Consider the following 20,690-nt stretch of genomic DNA (forward strand, 5'->3'; position numbering starts at 1 on the left):
AGAAAGAAAGAAAGAAAGAAAGAAAGAAAGAAAGAAAGAAAGAGGTAGTGGTTATTGTTGGAGGCCTCACACCTGTGAGTGGTATCGCCCCAGAACTCTGTCAAAGTCTCCTGAATCTTGAGAAGCCAAGCCCTTGTTCTCTTCTATTGGGCTGCTTCCTCGGGTACGACTTTGTAGGAGCCACCAGGAATTAAGTGCACCTGCTAAGGTCATGAGACAAGATGAGCCTCTTTGGAATGCCAAAATTTGCCCCCAGCAGACCGCACTGCTGCGTCTACCCAGGCAGTATACATCTAGCCCTTCACATGTAATCATGTTGAATTGAGTTTTTGGCAACACTTGTCCCTGGCTAACTACCTGATTCTGCGGAGCGTCAGAGCCTGGTCTCTCAAAAGCCCTCTCCCCAAAGGCCAGAAGTGAAGTTTCCCCCGGCCGTCATGGCCCTGAAACGGAGCACTGCAGAGCTCACAGAGGGGAGTGGAGATGGGAAGAAAGACACTGTTTCCTGAGTTGCCTGGATAGGATTATTTATGACGTAGCCACAAGCCTCTTCTGCTACAGCAGGCGGAGACCTTGCCACCTCAGGATTATGCTGCCACTTGCACTTAGCCTTCTTCCCGCATATACACACCCAGCGACATAAAAAGGGCACTCCTGCCCTGAGTTTGGAAATGATGTTTTGTGATGAGAGTCTAGTCCTGGTGGCTCACTCCTCACTGTCTATTGCTCACCGGCACGGAAAACTCTCTTTCATTCATAAATAATTGCCTTGCGCATTACTGTAGAAGAAAACTTAGTTAACAAATTCCTTTGTTTTGCTTGTGAAGTTACCAGATTTGGTTAGTAATTGCCTGCTTGATCAAAAGCCATTTCCTTCGTGGTTAACCAAACATCAACTTGTCTCTGTTGGGCCCGTTTTAAATATCACCAAAAGTGAACAGCCCCAATTACGACAGGAAACACATTTCCCGACATTAAACAAGGAACAGAAACAGATTTGTCGTGTTTCAAAATGCACATAGTTCTATGGATGGGCTCACATGCTGTTCTTATTTGCAACCTTCTCTCCCTAAACAAACACACAGGAGCGCGAAGACACAAACACATTCTTCTTTCAGTGGGTGTAGAAGGATTCTTGGAAAATCCTGTCTCTGAGTTATCTTCAAAAATGGCTGAAACTTATTACTGTGACACTTTTTAACTTGAAAATCAAGATAAAGTAAAGGGGAAAGTCTAAAATAAAATAAAATACAATCACTATTTTACTTTTCTTGAAAGAAGGGAAAATATTTGCCAGGAAAAATACTTTAGAGAGACTGTAGTCCTCTTCAGACATTTAAAACTTTCACATGAGATAGTAAAATAAATTTAAAAATTAAAAAATAATCCCTTGAGTTTTTGTGTGGTTGACTGTGAGCTGCAAATCTCAGGAACACCGGAATGCATTTATAAACCCATCAGAAATATCACCGTCACTATTTGGCATTCAGTATTGATAAGAAATGCGTGGTCCTCCTTGGCCTCTGGTTTTTCAGGCAGGGTTATAACAGGCATTATCTGCTTCAGGGGTTTTATTTGGGAAATCCCCTGGGTCCTTCCTAGTTATCCATGGCACTGCGGTGTGGTAGCCCAATGCGGGGTAGCTGGGGTTTCCTGCATTACTTGAAAGGTATGGTGCTCTCTGCAATGGAGAAAATAAATTTAAAAGCTATAGAATTCGTCCAATTAAACCGCACTAATCCAGAATCTGTCTTCTCTTCTATGAGAGCCTCTTCACTAGAGGATAAAATGAGCATTGATTTTTCAAGTACCTATGGATCACTTATTGCTAGTAAATTCTTCTGACTTAGGGCCTTAAGCCCTTTTCGATTCTCTCTGAGCTGCCCTGGAGAAATAAACCAACAAGTAAAAATCAAACATGTTCTATTTTGCAGCAGAAAAATGTGTCAGCCAAGACATTTCTGGGATTCGCTGTGCATTAAATTGTGTGTGTGTGTGTGTGTATATGTGTGTGTGTTGGATCTTTCCTTTAGGAGGTGTAAAGTTTTGTTTATGTGGCGCTTGCAGACTGAGAGGGGGATCCTGGCCACTGAGAGTCTCTACACTGCCTGGGAATCACTGCCTGAGGCTGAATGGGTCTCTTAGTGGATGACTCCAGAGCTGAACCCCTTGAGTGGAGCTTCTGAGCTGCTGTTGTTGATTGAGGATTGAAAAGTGTTTTCCAACTGCAAGTGCTCCTGCTGGGCATGGAAATGAGCTGACTAGACTTGTAAAGTCAATCCACTCCTGCTTCAAAGGCATTTTTTCCCAAGTGCATTAGCCTGTAGCTCAGAGCAGGATGCAGCCAGGTATGGTTGCAACCGGGAGGCTGAGGTAGGATGCAGGGTGCCTGCAGCCTTGAGGCTCTGAAAGCTGAAATCACAGACTGTCATTGTGACTTCATGGCCAACCTTGAGTAACAGCAGGTCTTCTGTGGGAGAAGTTGCTGGAGTCCAACCCCGGAAGTAGCAAGTGCCTCTCCCACAGCTGAGGGCCAGAACACCACGTTCTCTTGTGCTCTGGCTCTAGGCCACTCTTCTCTGGGCTCTTGAGAAGAGCTGCTGCAGGCATTTGCAGAGTGAATGAGCTCTGACTGAGACTTGACTTCAGAACCACTGGGCTGGCCTGGCCTCTTGACACAGCAACACACTGCTTCTTGCCTTCCAGGTAAATACCTCTGCCTTACTGACCATGTTATGGGTTTTAGTGGGACATCAGTACAGGGATTCTCCTCAGCCTCTTCCTCTCCTGTTAACTATCACTAACCAAGTCCCTAACATTAGGAAAGTCCAACTGATAACTGTCAGTTTCATCTTTCATTAACTGGGGGTTTTGTGACAGAGATCTTGCAATCACTACTTCTCGGGGGACTGGAAGTAGAATATTAGTGCTCTTTAAAATTAATGAAGGCTAGACTTGTCCAGTCTGTTAAGAGTATGCTGTAATACCCAAAGAAGCCAGCAATAGTCCCTCTCCTAGGCAGCAATGCAGCCAGAAGGCTCCCAGGCCCAGGATACTATGCATTAGTGCTCACAGATCTTGTTTAGGGAGCTAGGGAGCAAGGGGAAGGGACGGGAGTGCCTCCTGGAAGGTGAGGACTGAAGCCAACGTGGAAGTCACTGAGCTGAGTGGCAGGTGTCTAACACTGAAAAGTGGCCCTAGCCAAGGGCTCTAAGTAGTGGTACTTTCTACCGAGGCTCTTCCCCAAGGAGCTCTAGATCCACAGAGGCAGAAGGATTATTTGATCTTCTTTGCACTCATTTGATTTCAGGAGGAGGTCTGAAGTCCCAAAGCATGGGCATTGGGGTGAGAGAGGGAACATCAAAGTGTGCCAAAAAAGATTGTTTTATTTTACTTATTCCTGATTTTTCTTACCAGAGCTTGAGCTCATACACCGCATTGTAACACAAACACACAAGCACACATACCACACACACACACATGCCTTCAAACTAGAGAAGGGGACTACAGAAAGCACCTGGCCATAAAAGGCATGTCAAGGAGTTTGCTGTAGGGTGGTGATATGGTTGCTTTGTTTCAGTTCAGCAGACTTATCTCCATGAAGACCTTATTGTTTTCTGTGATTTCTCTTTTGTATTTTTTAAAATTTGTCTTTATTTCTTAATTATTAAAACCTTCCCTTTTGCCCCTCGGAGCATTGATCAGGGTTTACTAACTACAAATATTTACTTCATGAAGGAGCAGTTTTTTCTCTAGTAATATTAATGTGGGGACCCTGGGAAGGAAGACAGTGTATGAAAGAAGGCATAGATTGGCTTCAAGCACAGGCAGTATAGGTGTTTGCCTATATTTGGTGTTTTGATAGACTTAGGGAAAATCCCTCAGCCTACTACCAAATATTTTTGAGTGTCAGTACATCTGTGGTTGTTAGGTATTGAAAAGCCCTGATTAAATACAGATAATTATGAGAATATGGAAAGAAGCCTTTAGTACCTTATTCGCATGTCCTAGGAATGATGAGGTAGGGTGCCAAGTTAAGAAGAGGAAAATATATTGTAAATATCCAGGAGTAAGTAAATAGTGAAAAGATTAGCACGAGATTTGGTGGGCCCAATGGAGTTCAGGATGATTTCTTTCTTAACAGAAGGATCTGCTTCTGTTGGGCTCATGGCTGCCCAAATTAGGCAGAGCCAGATGATGACTCACTGATCTGAGAACTGAGTGGAGTCATTTGGTGAGAAAGCGTGTGTAGGGGAAGAGGGTGTAAAGCAAGCATTTTTCTAGTTTTAGGAAGATAAAATAATTCCTCATAAACAGTATTTTTTTTCAATAATTCATTGATGCAATTAACTTGGCATATCTCCGTTCAAGTGATCTGAGCCAGTGATATTTTGCTATATGTCTGAATTATTTATTTTAAAATATCAAACTGGCACCTGCAGTCATTTTTCAAATCCTAGCCCACTTTCTTTGAGGCTGATGCATATAGCATATTTGGAGGTAACTCTGACTCTCATCCTCATTTTTAAAAAGGCAGCATGATGCCAGGTGCGGTGGCTCAAGCCTGTAATCCCAGCACTTTGGGAGGCTGAGGCAGGCAGATCACCTGAGGTCAGGAGTTCAAGACCAGCCTGGCCAACATGGTGAAACCCCGTCTCTACTAAAAATACAAAAATTAGTTGGGCGTGGTTGAACACGCCTGTAATCCCAGCTACTCAGGAGGCTGAGGCAGGAGAATCACCTGAAGCTGGGGGGCAGAGGTTGCAGTGAGCTGAGATTGTGCCATTGCACTCCAGCCTGGGCAACAGAGGGAGATTCTGTCTCAAAAAAAAAAAAAAAAAAAAGCATGAAAAAAAACAAAGAAAAGGAAAGAGGAAAGATGGGGGTGGAGTAGGTAAAAGAAATGTATAAGGCATAATACCCAAGTTAAAATGACCTAACCTAAAAATTCACATAGCACAAACTCTACCCATGAAAAAATATTATGTCCAGCAGTCCTGATTGAGCCTTCAGTTAATATATGACTGTGCAAGTGCCAATGGAGCACCAGAGAGGTAACATAAAAAGGAATAGGTTTGACACTAGTTTGGTGTTGTTTTTGTGTGTGTGTGTGTGTGTGTGTGTGTGTGTGTGTGTTTTCTTTAATTTTGTTCATTAGGTTTTGTAGAGACAGGATCTTGCTATGTTGCCCAGGATGATCTCGAACTCCTGGACTCAAGCTATCCTTTTCCCTCAGCCTCCCAAAGCACTGAGATTACAAGTGTGAGCCCATATACCTGGCCTTAAGCTCAATGTTTTAATGGAGAGTGTTTGAGGACTAAAAGAGACAGGATGCATTTATAATTATTTATTATTTTCACTGCTCCAGGAAGTCAAAGACAGCTGAAAGGTGACCATACAATGCCTCTTCTGGCAATTACTAGAATCACCATAGGGTAGAATTACATTTGGACTTTCAAAAAGGTTTTTTCTTTTTCGTTTATTCATTTATCCTGCTCAAAATTAGCCACGTACAAAATTGTCCCCATAATTCTGGTGGCAAATTTCCTAGGAAATTTTTAAAAATTCTATCGACCTTAGGTTATTAATTCAGTGAAGAAATAAGAAAAAGTAGTTGTATGCCTTTGATATACTTCAGTTAGAATGAGAAATACAATGAACTGAAGCCTAATGTTGTAATTATTATCATAGGAAGGCCTTCACCATTTGATAGCAGTATGAACACATGATTAAATTCAACAGAATGCATTTTCCTGTAGCTAAAGTTTTTGCAAGCATGAGCATTTCGCTTCCAATCCTCCCCATGAGAAGAACACAGCGAACACAGATAAGAATTTGTATCTCTACTTTTTCTTCCCCTACTCTACCAAGGAGCAAGAGTAACAAAGTTTGACATGCATAACTCAAGACTAGATGAATAAAAGCACAGTCTTCTTGAGAGATTATATTGAATTAAGCTAACCAGAAGTTGAGGGATTCAGTGTGAGAATTACTTTAATATTAATTAGGCCACATCCCTCAATTTCCTGAAGTGAGAACACAGCTACGAGTTAGGGTCTTGTCATTAACACATTTTATCTAATCATATAAGAACATACACTTACATTGCATTGGTAAATACCAAAGATATATTTCCAAGGATGAACTTGATAAAAACAGGTCATGTATTCTAGAAGACATGTTTCCTATGGATTTTTGAAATTCAAATGTAATCTTTTGGTTTAATTCACTAATTTTATTTATTAAAATAGTATTTGAATTTCTTAAAAAAAAAGGTGGCTTTCCTAAAGACTTTCAACCTTTTGAATCTGCTTTAGGATTTAGCCAAAAGTTGGGGGTTCCAGTGTTGATCCCAAAGTTTTCCCCTTCGAGTGTTTCGCCTCAAAGAATTCACAGCTGTATAGTTGATAGAAAGATTAGCACATTCTTGAAATTAACTCCCATCATCTCTTTAATTTTGAAAACATCTGTGAGTGCTTACTATGTTCCAGGCTTTGTCCTAAGTGGTTTGCATGTTTTCTTCTCTTTTTACTAAACTCTCAGATATATAAACACACTTACAGAAACATACTCTATGATAGGAGTGTTAGAAATAATAGCTTTAAATGGTTAAAACAAAGAACTGAATGCAAAAAAAAGACTTGTGTAAGGTCATTCAGATAGAAAGTAGAGTCAGAATTTGAATCAGGTCAGTCTGAATCTAAAGTCTGTCTTCTTACATGCTGTACTGCTTGAGCCTTATTCCTATTTATTATCATAGCCTGAAGAATTCATGTAGAAAGTAAAATTTAGTCAATAACATAATTTTCCTATTCTCATAACCAGTAGTATTGAAAAAGGAGAAGAGGTAGGAAGAAAGAAAACTAGAAGAAGAAAGTGATCTTCCAAATTTTATCAAGATGAGTGTATTTGTCAAGACTCTTTTGTCTACAAGTAATGGAAACCCAGCTGAAGCTCACTTAAGCAAACAACGATAATTTATTTCTTCATGTCACTTAGCTAGTGCAGGCAAAGTTGAATTCAGGTACTCAAATGATGTTGTGGGGAAGCTGATTACATTTCCTGACTCTGCTTTCATTAAAGTGTTCATTAGAGTGTTCATTCTAAGGAGGTCTTTCCCAAGTAATGACAAAAAAAAAAGGCCATGAGTAGCTTGTTTCAGATTCATGTTCCACAAGCTTGGAACTATGCCAAAATATCTTAATCATGGGGAGTGGGCAATTCAAAACCAACATTTTACTGTAAGGATTTTCCTATTATCAAACTTAAAAAACATATTCTTCTTTCTATTGTGGGCATCTGTGGGTCTCAGAAACCTCCACATGTTTCGCTGCCCCTCCATTGTTGAAGAGTCTCTTATAAAGGTTTATGGGTGTTCATGGATGAAATATAGAGATGCCCCAAAGAGACTTCCAGGTGTGGAGAATGAATTGCTGGCATTAGTACATGCGCCTCAGGCCCCCAATACCTGACAGCCCAGTGCTTCAGCAGCTGACCAGACTGCAAAGCTAGTTATGAGATAATGCAATATTTTCCCCCTCAGATACAAGTTAACAGGAATTAACTATATTTTAGTCTAGTACATACAAGGGAGAGCTAAGCTACATATCTCCCAGTGATGTCAACAGATATATACAGAAATGGGAATGGAAAAAGTTCAGATTACAAAAATAAAAAAATTCTGGATGACTAAATTACATGCATGTAATAAATATTAAGAAAGAAGTTTCTTCTAAGAAAGAAACTTACACCCAAGATATGCTATTTTCTTGATTTCAAAATATCACATCATATGTTAGGTAGTCTAAAATACTAGCACAGACATTGCAACAAACATCTTTTGCTTTATTTTTACAAAAATCTATTTAAAAAAAAAGATACCAAGCAAAGTTGTCCCTTTCTATACAAGGTAACGTCCTGCCTTTTAACAATAAATTGAGCTAAGGTTAAAGGCAAGACAACACCTGTATTAGGAGATACTAACACAAATATTACATGGTAATAATTGCACTCTAAAATTAACAAATAAACTCGACTTTTCTGTTTTTTAGTTGTGTATTTTAGCTAAGAGCATGCAATAAATAAAATATAGATAGATAGAGATAGATTAGATAGATAGATAGATAGATAGATAGATGATACATATAGATAGATAGACAGATAGATAGATAGATCTTCTGAGTAAGAGGAAATGAACAAACACTCTCCCCCCACTTTAATGGGTGCGAAAAGAAACGAATGCTCAGATCACATGCAGATGTGGCTGTTTTCCAGCCCAAGTTCCTTACACGAAATTGGCCTTACCTGTGAGGTTCACTTTGCCTGTCTAGGATAGGGACAGTGTCTTTCTCAATTCTGCATGGTGAGCAGTGGCTAAATAATGATTGAGCCAAACCCTTCAGCAGCATTCAAGCTGTAAGTAACTCTTTGCCATACTGAGATTTTTAGAGTGTTTAAAGTCATACCCAGTTGCCTGAAGATCTCCTCCCTATGGCTGAATATCCCCCTACCACCACCACTACCACTGCCATCACAGTGGCAGGGCACATTTGTACCTAAGTAGCTGAAATTAAAAGGACACACAGGTCTTTTACTCTCAGATTCCAGTATTGGCATATTATAAGTTATTTCAAGTTGCATCTTATTTTAAATGAACTTGGATCAGCTTTAAATGCCCTTTTTACAAATGTGTCAGAGGAGAATAATATAATTTTTCTGGAAAAATGCAAATGCTATTAGTTAAGATGCAACCTGCAAAAGAATCCAGGGGCACTTGATTTCTTATTTCTGATGAAAAGTAGGAGACCAAATCATATGCACACAGGCAGACATCTCATATCTGCATACGTAAACATGCTCTTTGGATGTTGTAGACAAGTCTCTTCCTGAAAAAAAAAGAAACTTGTATATTCATTTTAAGGAAAAGTAAAATCCAGCCCAAGAATATATTCCAGGAGACACTGGAATCAATTACTTAATCCGAACATTTTGAGTTGTGCACATTCTTGGGAGCAAAGGCCCTTTTGTTGCCCTGCTGGTGGACCTGGAGTTTTTAGACTGTGTTTGCTGATTAAGTACTGTGAGAAAAAACAAAGACTATGTATAGGAATATTGGGCTCCAGCAGAGGCAGGGCTTGAAGATCCAAGTTTTCTCTGATGCTTGACAGTGGCATTGGGAGACTCCTGCCTGCCCTCACCTCACTAACAGAAGAGAGCGGATAAACTGGCACAACTGCTGCTCACCTAATTTGAGACTCCAACTGCAGAGCCAACTGGCCCCAAAAGCTTGTACTCCTTTCTGTTTCCCAGTGCCTTCACTGGAGAGCAAAAGACCCTGATACATCTCTCCGGATCTGCTTAAAGTGGTCCCTCGTGGGCAATTATTTCGCATGTCTTTGAGTTTTATAATTTAATGTAAAGCTGTAACCTGTATCTCCCTTTTCTCCTCTCTCTACTTCCCTATCTATAGCTTTTTTTCAACAAGCTCCAAAACCCCCCTCCCTGTTAGACTCTGAAGTGTCACTCACTGTGTTTTTTATGCTTCCAATAGTTTCCAAAACAAACAGTGGAGGCAGTGACCGGCTGGGTATTCACTGGATGCAACAGTAACTCCCAATCCGAGCAACCTGAGCCGCCATTGGCGGCAGGTCTGCTCCCTAAAAGGCCAGCACTTGCCAATCTCTGCTCTGCCAGGTCCTGGAATCAGGGATTTGAGGACTAATGGTCTGCACATGTGCACTGGGAGGAAGGGAGACTAGACTTTGAAGGACATATACACTAGTTTGATCTTCCTCTCCTTTCATTTTGTCTATTCAAACAAAAAATATATATGTATATAAAAAAATTACACACACACACACACACACACACACACACACACACACACAATTATTTTCTTTGAATACAGATCCAGAAATTGTTTTTCAGATTTGGGTTTTGGGTTTGGGGTTTTGTTTTGTTTTGTTTTGTTTTTCCCGCTTTCCCTCCTTCCTTCACCCTCTGTGCCCTCCGCCTGTGTCTCCCCCTCCCTCCCTAACCCAGTTCAGGTTGAAACTTTGCTGCAAAGAATCCCTTCACCCCCTCCAGGGATGGCTCTGAGCTCTCGGGCGCGTGCCTTCTCCGTGGAAGCCTTGGTGGGGAGACCCAGCAAAAGAAAACTCCAAGACCCAATACAGGCGGAGCAGCCTGAGCTGCGGGAGAAAAAGGGCGGAGAGGAAGAGGAGGAGAGAAGGAGCAGCGCTGCAGGGAAGAGCGAGCCGCTTGGTAAGTACTGCCATTGCCCTGAGCCCGTTGCCTGAGCTTACTGGTTCCGCATCTCTCCGCCTGGCTCGCGTCCCGACGCAGCCAGACAGCCACATTAGGAGCCGCGAGACACCTCGACCACCTGGTGAAGGGGAAGTTTCAGCGCCTCCGAATCCATCCCGGAGTACAGCAGTTTCTTTGCGGTAAAGGGGAGGGTCCCTACATAATTGTGAAGTGAGTCTCTCCTACATCCTCCTCCTACCTTCGCGGAAAGCTCTCACCGCCAGCGGGTGGCTGCTGTATCCTGGGATGGGAAGCAGGGCGAGTTCCCAAATCCCGAGGGCATCCAGTCTCGGTTATCAACGTCTCCAGGAGAGTGAGGATTGGCAAATCTAAAAAAAAAAAAAAAAAAAGCTGGTGTGGGCGGGGGGTAGGTGTCGGGTGTCGCACCTTTCACTGCCCCTCTCTCTCCATTAAGCGGCCACAGAGGGTGTTATGCGGAGCTTGGGGAATCTGTCGCCAAAGTTCCTGGGGAAGGGACAAGGCCCTGTCTGCTCCAAGATAGGCACCAGCGAGAAGTGGGCATGTGAACTGTGACGCTCTCTCAAACCCTGAGCGCCTTTCTGTGTCCAGCAGAAAAACAACCTAAGACAGAGCCCTCAACATCTGCTTCCTCTGGCTGCGGCAGCGACAGCGGCTACGGCAACAGCTCTGAAAGTCTGGAAGAGAAAGATATTCAAATGGAGCTTCAAGGATCTGAACTGTGGAAAAGATTCCATGACATCGGGACTGAGATGATCATTACTAAAGCGGGCAGGTTCGGTTCTGCCCAAGCTGTTCACAAGGGTCACACACATTAGGCACTTAATTTACCGCTCTGGTAAGATGAGGACTCTCCAGTTTTATGCTCTGGTACTCCTCTGTCCCTTTTCCCCAACTCCCTGACATACAGTAGAAAGCCATAGCCCCTCAATTGATAGGGCTCGGACTTACCTGGCCCCATGTAAGTGGCTCATTCTTCCTTTCCTGTACACTGTGACTCCAATAACTCACTTCCCCGTCTCCTGCCTGTGTAGTATAAGACAAAAATCAGACTTTGGTCTTAGACTGTGGCCAGACCTCTCAGTTAAGGCCTCTAAGATAACCATGGACAGTATCCCATGTCACAGTTCCTCGCGCCCGCTAGACCTGGCCCAGGTTATTTTGAGGTGAGCCATTCCCATAGCCACCTTTTGGCATGGGACAGCCACTTCACTGCAGCTGGTTATTTTGTGAGTCTAACTAATTTCAGCCTTCCACAAATCTGCCTCACAGAAAGTACCCTTGAAAAGGAGGTTGGGACACAGCTTTTTCTCTCATACTTTCTCTTCTATAGCTTTTTATTATGGTTGGGGAGGGACATGAACAAAGCCTTGTGGTAATAATATTCTGCTCCACTTAGAAATTCCGTACTTGTTCGGTCAAGTATGCAACCAACAATCTTTCCTCATGTAGCAAATGCTATTCCTTGCTATTTTGAAAAGGGAAGGGTATTGTGAGTCCCTTCACTTTTTACTGGAGTCAGCATTTGTCCAGAAACACTCCCTCTTCCAAACATTTCTAAAAGCTCTTGGGTCAGTCCTTATTTTCTTTCTTACAGGCGGATGTTCCCCTCTGTTCGGGTCAAGGTGAAAGGGTTGGATCCAGGGAAGCAGTACCATGTGGCCATCGATGTGGTGCCGGTGGATTCCAAACGCTATAGGTAATGGGCCCCATAGAATGGTACTCTATGCCCAGGCTAGGGCCAGGGATTTGGACCTTCAGACCTGAAACCTGACAGCATGACTTTGAAAACTCTAGCATGGGGGGTGGGAGTGGGGGATTGCTCTCCTGTGGGCTTTAGGAGTTGAATTTTCTTATTAAAATTGGGGTTCCCAGTGAAAGAAGAGAAGCCTTCTTCCTCTCTCTGCCCCCATCCCCTCTTGGAATGCCGTGAATTCAGGGCACTAATTAGAACTCCAAATGTACCCCAAGCCTCTCCCTACCCACTGCTCTGGCCTTGGTTGTGTAAACTGCAGAGGGTGTGGGCTCTGGTGGTCAGAAGGGAAGCGGGTTGAAGGAATTGTGGGAGAAATCCCCAGGCTCTATGGGAGCCTGGGCATCTGGGGACATGCTGGGCTCTGAGCTTTGCTGCTTTGGCAGCAGGAGGCCAGAAGGATGATCAATTTGCCACTCAAGGTCAGTCAAGCGTTCCTGTGTCTAGGCCTGTCTTTTCGTCCATCTTTAACCTTTCCCCTGAAGTAATGTCTGGGTCTTAGAGGGTACAAGTATCATTTTCCCTTTATTTAAGCCCTCAACCTACAGCAGGCTGAAAGTGGCCCAACTGTTTTAAAGCCAAAAAGCCCTTCTGGGATACACCCCAGACACACCAGCTTGCCAACACTTTGACTCAGGGGCTTGGGGTCCAGTTCAGGGTTGGAGGGGTTGGGGAGGTGACAGCTGTTTACACTAGGGCTGTGAGCATTTGACCCAGAGGTGGGTCCCTGGTCCTCCAAGGAGACAGCCCACCTCAAAACCAGAGCTAGCTTTGAAAGCAAGGAGAAGGCTCTGCTCAGAGGACTGCTGGGGCTGCAGTATGGAAACAGCAGAAAAAGCTGTTTGCTTCTCAAATTGCAGCTGGCTTGGGAATAAGAGCAAAACTGGGAAGTTGAGATTGGAAATAGTGTGAAAATCGGCCAGAGGCTGCGCAGGGCTGTGTTCCTAAGAGTTTTCTTGATGTGAAGCCTTATTGACAAAAGGGCTTCCACAAAGAGTGGTGACAGTGGCCTAGACAAGACATCCTTGTCAGCCCTCCACTTCTTCCCAGACTCTTCACACCCAAAGCTAGTGGATTTTTCCATTATCTCTGTGAGATAAAATTTGTTAGATCAATTTCTGTGGTGGTTTCTGTGAGAAAATACAAATCAGACTTAGAAATCTCATGACATTTTACTTTCCCTGCACTTCATTGCATTTTGATGACATATGCTTATTTACAGTTTATTTTTTGCCCCGAATGCTTGTTAGAAATTAAGTTGAGTCTTCTCCTTACTTGCCCTTGGGATCACTGGGCTAATCTGGAGTGAAGTCCTCAGGAACAGAACACAACAGCTCCCAGCTTTGGCCTGCTGCACCTAATGCCACAGCATGTGTTTTTTCAGGTACGTCTATCACAGCTCACAGTGGATGGTAGCTGGGAATACAGACCATTTGTGCATCATTCCTAGATTCTATGTTCACCCGGACTCACCCTGCTCGGGAGAGACCTGGATGCGGCAGATCATCAGCTTTGATCGCATGAAACTCACCAACAATGAGATGGATGACAAAGGCCACGTACGTGAGCACAATCCTTTACCCCGAGGAGGGAGGTGCCAAGGCTCCTGCCCACTGGTCACCCTGGAGAGGCCAGGGAGGCTTTTTGCAGATGCACATGTTGTGTTTTTTAGGAACTGTTCAAGCCCTGCACCTGTAAGTAAAGTAGCTAACCTAGGGCTCCTGAAACGTTTGTTTAGCATCTGAGATGCTGGCGACTGGGGATGGTGAATATAGGGAGTTTGAGGACAGAAGGAGACCTGTTTAAGCCAGAATGCCTGGTCTGGGAGAGTAGGAGGGAACCATTCAGGGAGTTCTCAGGCACCTTAGCCTCCTTGGCAATCACTATGATCTCTGATTGCCTTCCTGTAGTCCACGCAGTTGGATGGGCACCCAGTGTATGGTATGTGTGATGGAAGGATACAAGTGGGGGAATCTCAGACTGCATCCTGGAAATCTCCCAAACAACCTACCCTCATAGGTCCTATTGATCTTGCACATTCTCACTAGGTGCACCCCAGCTTCTGTCCTCCCCAGTCTGGCACTGTGCCAGCTACAAAAGGAAAGAGGGAAGCTCCCAAGATTAGGAGGTAGGGTATGTCAGGTTACCCACCATATCCAAGCCTATCAGTTACTGCCATGGGAACTTGTAGCAGGCTAGCAGATCCCAGTGCCACTTCTACACCAGATGGTCGCCAGTGTTTGAAGCAGGAAAAGGCCCCAATCTGGAAATGGAATCACTGCTGACTGGTGCCGCTGAGGTGTCTTTCTCTGGAAATGTTTTTAGCTCGGAGCGCCTCTGTTGGAGGCCAAATGGCACAACAAAGTAGTTACCTAAGCTTCATCATTGCCTTTTTGTGTGCACATGGTGGAGGTGGTCAGGAGAGGGAACTAGGGTTTGGGACTGAAGCCAGTTTTTCTAACAGCATTGATCATTTCTCCTCCAGATCATTCTGCAATCCATGCATAAGTACAAACCCCGAGTGCACGTGATAGAGCAAGGCAGCAGTGTTGACCTGTCCCAGATTCAGTCCTTGCCCACTGAAGGTGTTAAAACATTCTCCTTTAAAGAAACTGAGTTCACCACAGTAACGGCTTACCAAAACCAACAGGTAAACTTGGTCATGTCTCAGGCGAATGGAAATGGCTCCAGAGGGACCTTGGATTAGAGGCATAGAGGCTAACTGCCATCAATTGCATTTTCCACAATTCTAAATAAAAATCATAGTTTTATTGTATTGTCATCCATGCAAGTTTGATAATGAATTGTATAAATCTTATGGGAGAAGGCAACTCCAGAAGGTAATTTATAAAAGTAATGATTTATAAATAGGAGCTAACCATTCTAAATATGACTTGCAATATGGTTACATTTATTTAAATTGTCATATTAACGTGTTTCAACATCTCTTCTGGTGGTTGTAACCACTATAAGCAATGGCAACAGTGTTCTTACTGAAAGCAATGACTTTATCTTTCTCTCTCTATTGAATCCATAGATTACGAAACTAAAAATAGAAAGAAATCCTTTTGCTAAAGGATTTAGAGATACTGGAAGAAACAGGTAAGCAGCATAGCAATGACATCTAATATTGATGTAGCTAGCTATTTTCACAAGTTTTTTTTTTTTTTTTTTTCCTGAGATGGAGTCTCACTCTGTTGCCCAGGCTGGAGTGCAATGGCACGATCTCAGCTCACTGCAACTTTCACCTCCCTGGTTCAAGCAATTCTCCTGCCTCAGCCTCCCAAGTAGCTAGGATTACAGGCATGTGCCAACAGGCCTGGCTAATTTTTGTATTTTTAGTAGAGATGGGGTTTCACCATATTGGTCAGGCTGGTCCTGAACACCTGACCTCGTGATCTGCCCGCCTCAGCCTCCCAAAGTGCTGGGATTACAGGCGTGAGCCACTGCACCTGGTCCCCCACAAGTTTTAAGGATAAGAAAACTGACTCAGAGACTCAAAAGCTCTAAGTTTTGTAATTAGTAGGTGGTAAGAAAGGAACCCAGATGTTTTGTGTTGAAAACATTACTTCCTCCCACTCCTTTGCTACTCACTATTAAGACCTTGCTTATTTTAGAATTCTAGGTTTGACTGAATTTTATTCAGAAGTCTAGCTATATAAAAGAGAAATATTTAAAATAGTTACATCTGAAAGATATAGCAAAATAACTCAAAATCATTATTTTCAGAAATTGCATTCTGGGGATGCTGAAAGTTGACTCTCTTTTTTAGGGGTGTATTGGATGGGCTTTTAGAGACCTACCCATGGAGGCCTTCTTTCACTCTCGATTTTAAAACCTTTGGCGCAGACACACAAAGTAAGAAAACTTGGAACGTTTGTTTTATTTTTACATATCAATTAAATAACAACATCCGGAACCCTTGTACCAAATACTACACAAGGGGATATGTACATGCAAGAAAATGTGTACTTATGGGTAACTGCGTGTACATTTGCCTGAATGACGAGGTAAGAGGCATAAAGGGAGAGAAGCTGGCATGAAGGAAGAGAATAGAAATGTGATAATTGTAGACTTATTGACATATGTTAATAAGTTATCTTACACCCTGTGATTTTCAGATTTCATCTGGATTTTTCAGCCTCTCACTGTTTCACATTCTTTAGGATATGCCTGTGGTGCATTTGCAGCCTGATTTGCAAATATGTTACTATTGAAATGAATAGTTTATCTTTTATGAGGACCTTTCAGTACATGTTAAAATGACTTTCATTAAATTCATCACTGAGCTCTAATTTTCCTCTTTTTTGTTCATGGGGAAAGTAAATGTTAAAAATAATACTAAGTCTTCACAATTTAATTGCCACAAGCATTTAAAAATATTTGCAAGATATTTATCCTCAGATGGTACATTACATGACAAAATAATAATAATTAAATAATGCAGGCTTTCTGGTGGAAGGATACCTTAATTTGCTCTGATAGTTAATAATAAATAGAATAATTTTTATTTGAAAATGACATGGATTTTTTTTATCCCTTTGTCTTTACTCCATCGAAGTTGCTTGTCTTTGACCATTAATTCAAGGTTACAATTGCCAAGCAAAACCAACATTATAGTTAGGTTGAGTTTTACATGATGCCATAACAACTAACTGAAAAGGGAAGAAGTGAAGTCTAATCATTTGGTGAAATATTTCACTGGAATGGCTGTCTTGATGTGGTTTAGGGAATTGCATGAAAAAAAAAACACTTATTTTACAGTGTCGATTTAACTAATAGCATCTAGAAAGCATACTTTTAAATATCCAAGTCAAAACAAATGTGCACTAATAAAGAAAAAGTTAAAGATGATCATGAAATGATAATTTAAAGTACACAGTTTTCTTAATTATTTAACATATCCAAAATGCTCTCAAATTGCAAATAAATGAGCTACTAGTTTCTTAAATAACTTTTAAATGCTTTATTATAAAAGATATTTGCCATCTTGTTGATGAAGGTTTAGGATACGTCTACATACACAAAATAGTTAAGAAAACAGCAACACTAAAAAAGAAACAACTTGGTCAAATCCAGCCAATAACCAATTGTTTGAATTCAGACATTTACAAAAATAAGCTTTAGAGTTTAGCGTTTCCTGGACCTTATAATTATCCCTAGTTTTAGTAGATGCTAGGCAAACATAAAAAATCAGCAAACGTCATTGATATGAACACTTACATTCATCCTTATATTTCTTAACTTGCAAAATTATTTCCAACTCTTAAGATATAATGCAGTATGGAAATTGCCCCATTCATTGTTTTTGTATAAGAAAAAAAGCTAAGGCTTTTAAATATATTGCTTTCATTTATACAAGACTATTTTCATGTTCACTAATTTTTTAAATCAGTGGTCAGAGGAATTTTTTAAATCAGTGTACCTTTGGTCAGAGGAATTTAAAAAATCAACGTACATGAAATCTATACATTCTATCTATAAACTAAATCTATATAATCCCAAACAACCAATCAATTTGTGCATCTTAACTACTTATTTTAGTAACATTTTAAGGTTTTAAAATAATAAAACTAGTTTGTGTTTGTAAGATATAATTGACGCTAAGTCATAATTGGACTTCTTTGTAATTCTTTGTACAAATGTGGTTCAAGTGCCTAGCACAGTATTTGAGCAAATGAATGCTTAATACATGATACATGGTAGTAGTGCTAAAAGTAATAGTGGTAGTAGTATAGATCAGTGGTCCCCAACCTTTTTGGTACCAGGGGCCAGTTTTGTGAAAGACAATTTTTCCACGAATGGTGGGGGTTGGGAGGGGATGGTTTCGGGATGAAACTGTTCCACCTCAGATCATCAGGCATTAGATTATCATTAAAGGGCACTCAACCTAGATCCCTCACATGCACAGTTCACAATAGAGTGTGCGCTCCTGTGAGAATCTAATGCTGCCGCTGATCTGAAAGGAGGCAGAGCTCAGGCAATGAGGTAATGCTCACTGGCCTGCTGATCACCTCTTGCTGTCCAGCCTGATTCATAACAGGCTACAGACCTGTACCAGTGGGTAACCCAGGCATTAGCGATACCTAGTATAGATACTATATTCAACTTTAGTCAGAGGAATGAGCAGGTCCTGTCTCAAAGAAGCTAAAAGAACTGTGAACTCACAAGGAAAATTAATCTAAGGATGAAGCACAGATAGTGAAGGATATGATTACTAATATTGCAGGAACATCAAATGTCAAGTTCATTATTCATTGGCTGAATTGTCATTCACAGGTGGAAGCAGTGGCTCATCTCCAGTGACCTCTAGTGGAGGGGCCCCCTCTCCTTTGAACTCCTTACTTTCTCCACTTTGCTTTTCACCTATGTTTCATTTACCTACAAGCTCCCTTGGAATGCCCTGTCCAGAGGCATACCTGCCCAATGTCAACCTGCCTCTATGCTACAAGATTTGTCCAACTAATTTTTGGCAACAGCAACCTCTTGTTTTACCGGCTCCTGAAAGACTAGCAAGCAGCAACAGTTCTCAGTCTTTAGCCCCACTCATGATGGAAGTGCCTATGTTATCTTCCCTGGGGGTCACCAATTCAAAAAGCGGTTCATCTGAAGACTCCAGTGATCAGTATCTACAAGCACCTAATTCTACCAATCAAATGTTATATGGATTACAGTCACCTGGAAATATTTTTCTGCCAAACTCCATCACCCCAGAAGCACTTAGTTGCTCCTTTCATCCTTCCTATGACTTTTATAGATACAATTTCTCTATGCCATCTAGACTGATAAGTGGTTCCAACCATCTTAAAGTGAATGACGACAGTCAAGTTTCTTTTGGAGAAGGCAAATGTAATCATGTTCATTGGTATCCAGCAATTAACCATTACCTTTAGTAAGACAATAGCATTTCTAGAACAATTACATGTAAACAAATATTTTCTTTATTTGTAGCCAAAGAAATTTCAACAGTTATTGGGCTTAAAAAGCATCATTACAATACAGTATTTCTTTGTTATACATTTAAAGATTTAAAGTGCCTTATCAAATAATATTCATGAAGAGTTGTTTATAATGTCAAATGAAACCTACAGGAATCTCTGATTACAGTGGCCTTGAGCTTCAAAATGAGATATGCAATAAATATTATTTGATGATACTCCACCAGTGAAAATTGATGCTAAGTGATGGGATTTTCAATTATACTGAAGCTAGTTCACCACGTTAACTGCATTTTACACATTGACAATGACAAAAAGAAGATGGATGTAATTCTCATGAAAGCAGTGAAGCAATTTCAGTTTTAAAAATGAAGATCGGCTTTCATGTAATTATCTAGTAGTTGTAGAAGAAAATTTAATTATTTGTTTGCCTCATGCCTTTATACTTTGCTGTTGAAGAAACTACTAATCTCAATTTAAGATACAAATAAGGACACAAACTTTCAAGTATTATATTTTATTTATCTTTGTAGCCTAAAGACCATTTAATCTTGAAGGAACACAAAGATCAAATGAAAAGTAAAACACTCTAAATAAATTTGCTTTTATTTTCTTTTATTTTTGGATAATTCCTAGATAAAACTTGTTCATTTATTCCTTTAACACCTCTGGTATTTTATACACTATTAGAAAAAAACGTATTATTATAGTTTTGTAAGAAAATAAAGACATTATGATTACAAGAGGGAGAATACATTTGAATCCATAAATATGAAAATATCATTATTCTGGTATGATTTAACTCCACTCTTGTGTGTCAATCATAGTGAATTAAACTAGACAAAAGTAGAATAATCTTTTATTTAAGTTTATGAAGTTGAAAAGTTTCCTTTCACCAGGCCCTAAATTTCTGAAAATAATTATGAGGTATAACCTATATACAGCCTGTATATCTTTAAGATGAATCAGATTTTGAGTTTTATGCTAGTAACTCTAGACATTTTATTAAGCCAAGCCCTTTAATATCACAATGGAATGACTTGACTTTTGACAAACTAAGCAAACTGCTAAACTGATTTTTCTAATTTTTCCAACACATATAAAGAACAGCATATTAATTATTTATTCTGCTCAAAATGATTATTTCATCTCAAATATGCCTTATAAATGTGCCTTCCTCTATATGTATTAAAATTATCCCCACTCCTGGGAGTAGGGATAGGATGCCACATGATTGCATTCAAATTAAGTATTCTAGTCAAGATGAAGTATTATTTGTGATCTAATGTAATTAGATACTGTTGCAAAAGTCTTTAAGGAATAAAATGTATACTACCCAGGTTTATTAAACAAGAAATTAAAATAAGAAAAGACATTTTATTTTTGTCTACTCCAAAACAGGAAAGCTAAAGGCTAACTTTAATTAGTAAAATGGATTGTTACTTTTTCAGCAGAAACCCTTATATCAGATTATAAATGAAACATTCGGAGGTCTACATGGGAGAACATCAGTAATTGGCAAGAGAAAGTATTTAACTGAAAAATCAAAGAGATATCTGGGTTACTTTTTAGTGACTATTTAAAAGAACGGATTAATTTTGGAGCTTCTCCAGAATACATATACCCTATGCTGTATGTTTCAGATAATATGACTATATATTACCTATATACAACTACTAATATGTAATTACATTGGTAATTACATTGGTAATGGT

The 20,690-nt window shown here is 40.7% G+C and overlaps 1 protein-coding gene across 4 annotated transcripts, besides 5 other annotated features; it reads left to right on the plus strand.

Annotated features, from left to right (window-relative positions):
• Positions 1,964 to 2,528: an enhancer, noted in NCBI's record as "OCT4-NANOG-H3K27ac hESC enhancer chrX:79269644-79270208 (GRCh37/hg19 assembly coordinates)". NCBI's record gives its function as "activates a minimal SCP1, AML or CMV promoter by ChIP-STARR-seq in naive H9 embryonic stem cells {active_cell/tissue: H9 hESC(naive)}" and the evidence as "EXISTENCE:reporter gene assay evidence [ECO:0000049][PMID:30033119]".
• Positions 1,964 to 2,662: a biological region, named in NCBI's record as "TBX22 P0 promoter". NCBI's record gives its function as "regulatory_interactions: TBX22".
• Positions 2,407 to 2,662: a promoter, noted in NCBI's record as "-167 promoter in TBX22-4 construct". NCBI's record gives the evidence for it as "EXISTENCE:reporter gene assay evidence [ECO:0000049][PMID:25373698]".
• Positions 2,491 to 2,520: a protein binding site, noted in NCBI's record as "oligo 1". NCBI's record gives its function as "positive regulation of transcription" and the evidence as "EXISTENCE:protein binding evidence [ECO:0000024][PMID:25373698]".
• Positions 2,572 to 19,593, plus strand: TBX22 (T-box transcription factor 22). 4 transcript variants are annotated; one of them, NM_001109878.2, is made up of 9 exons: positions 2,572 to 2,706; positions 10,087 to 10,263; positions 10,879 to 11,059; positions 11,882 to 11,983; positions 13,422 to 13,596; positions 14,523 to 14,687; positions 15,075 to 15,139; positions 15,810 to 15,895; positions 18,317 to 19,593. In NM_001109878.2, exons 2-9 carry the CDS (start codon positions 10,089 to 10,091, stop codon positions 18,928 to 18,930), a joined length of 1,563 nt encoding a protein of 520 aa, NP_001103348.1. In that variant the 5' UTR covers positions 2,572 to 2,706; positions 10,087 to 10,088; the 3' UTR covers positions 18,931 to 19,593. The 4 variants fall into 4 exon arrangements, with proteins under 4 accessions (NP_001103348.1, NP_001103349.1, NP_058650.1 ...); NM_001109879.2 differs by having other exon boundaries at positions 10,879 to 11,055; NM_016954.2 differs by lacking the exon at positions 2,572 to 2,706 and having other exon boundaries at positions 10,062 to 10,263; positions 18,317 to 19,588.
• Positions 10,269 to 10,769: an enhancer, noted in NCBI's record as "H3K27ac hESC enhancer chrX:79277949-79278449 (GRCh37/hg19 assembly coordinates)". NCBI's record gives its function as "activates a minimal SCP1, AML or CMV promoter by ChIP-STARR-seq in primed H9 embryonic stem cells {active_cell/tissue: H9 hESC(primed)}" and the evidence as "EXISTENCE:reporter gene assay evidence [ECO:0000049][PMID:30033119]".

This window comes from Homo sapiens, chromosome X (assembly GCF_000001405.40).
Source record: "Homo sapiens chromosome X, GRCh38.p14 Primary Assembly".
In the NCBI taxonomy this organism is placed as follows: domain Eukaryota; kingdom Metazoa; phylum Chordata; class Mammalia; order Primates; family Hominidae; genus Homo; species Homo sapiens.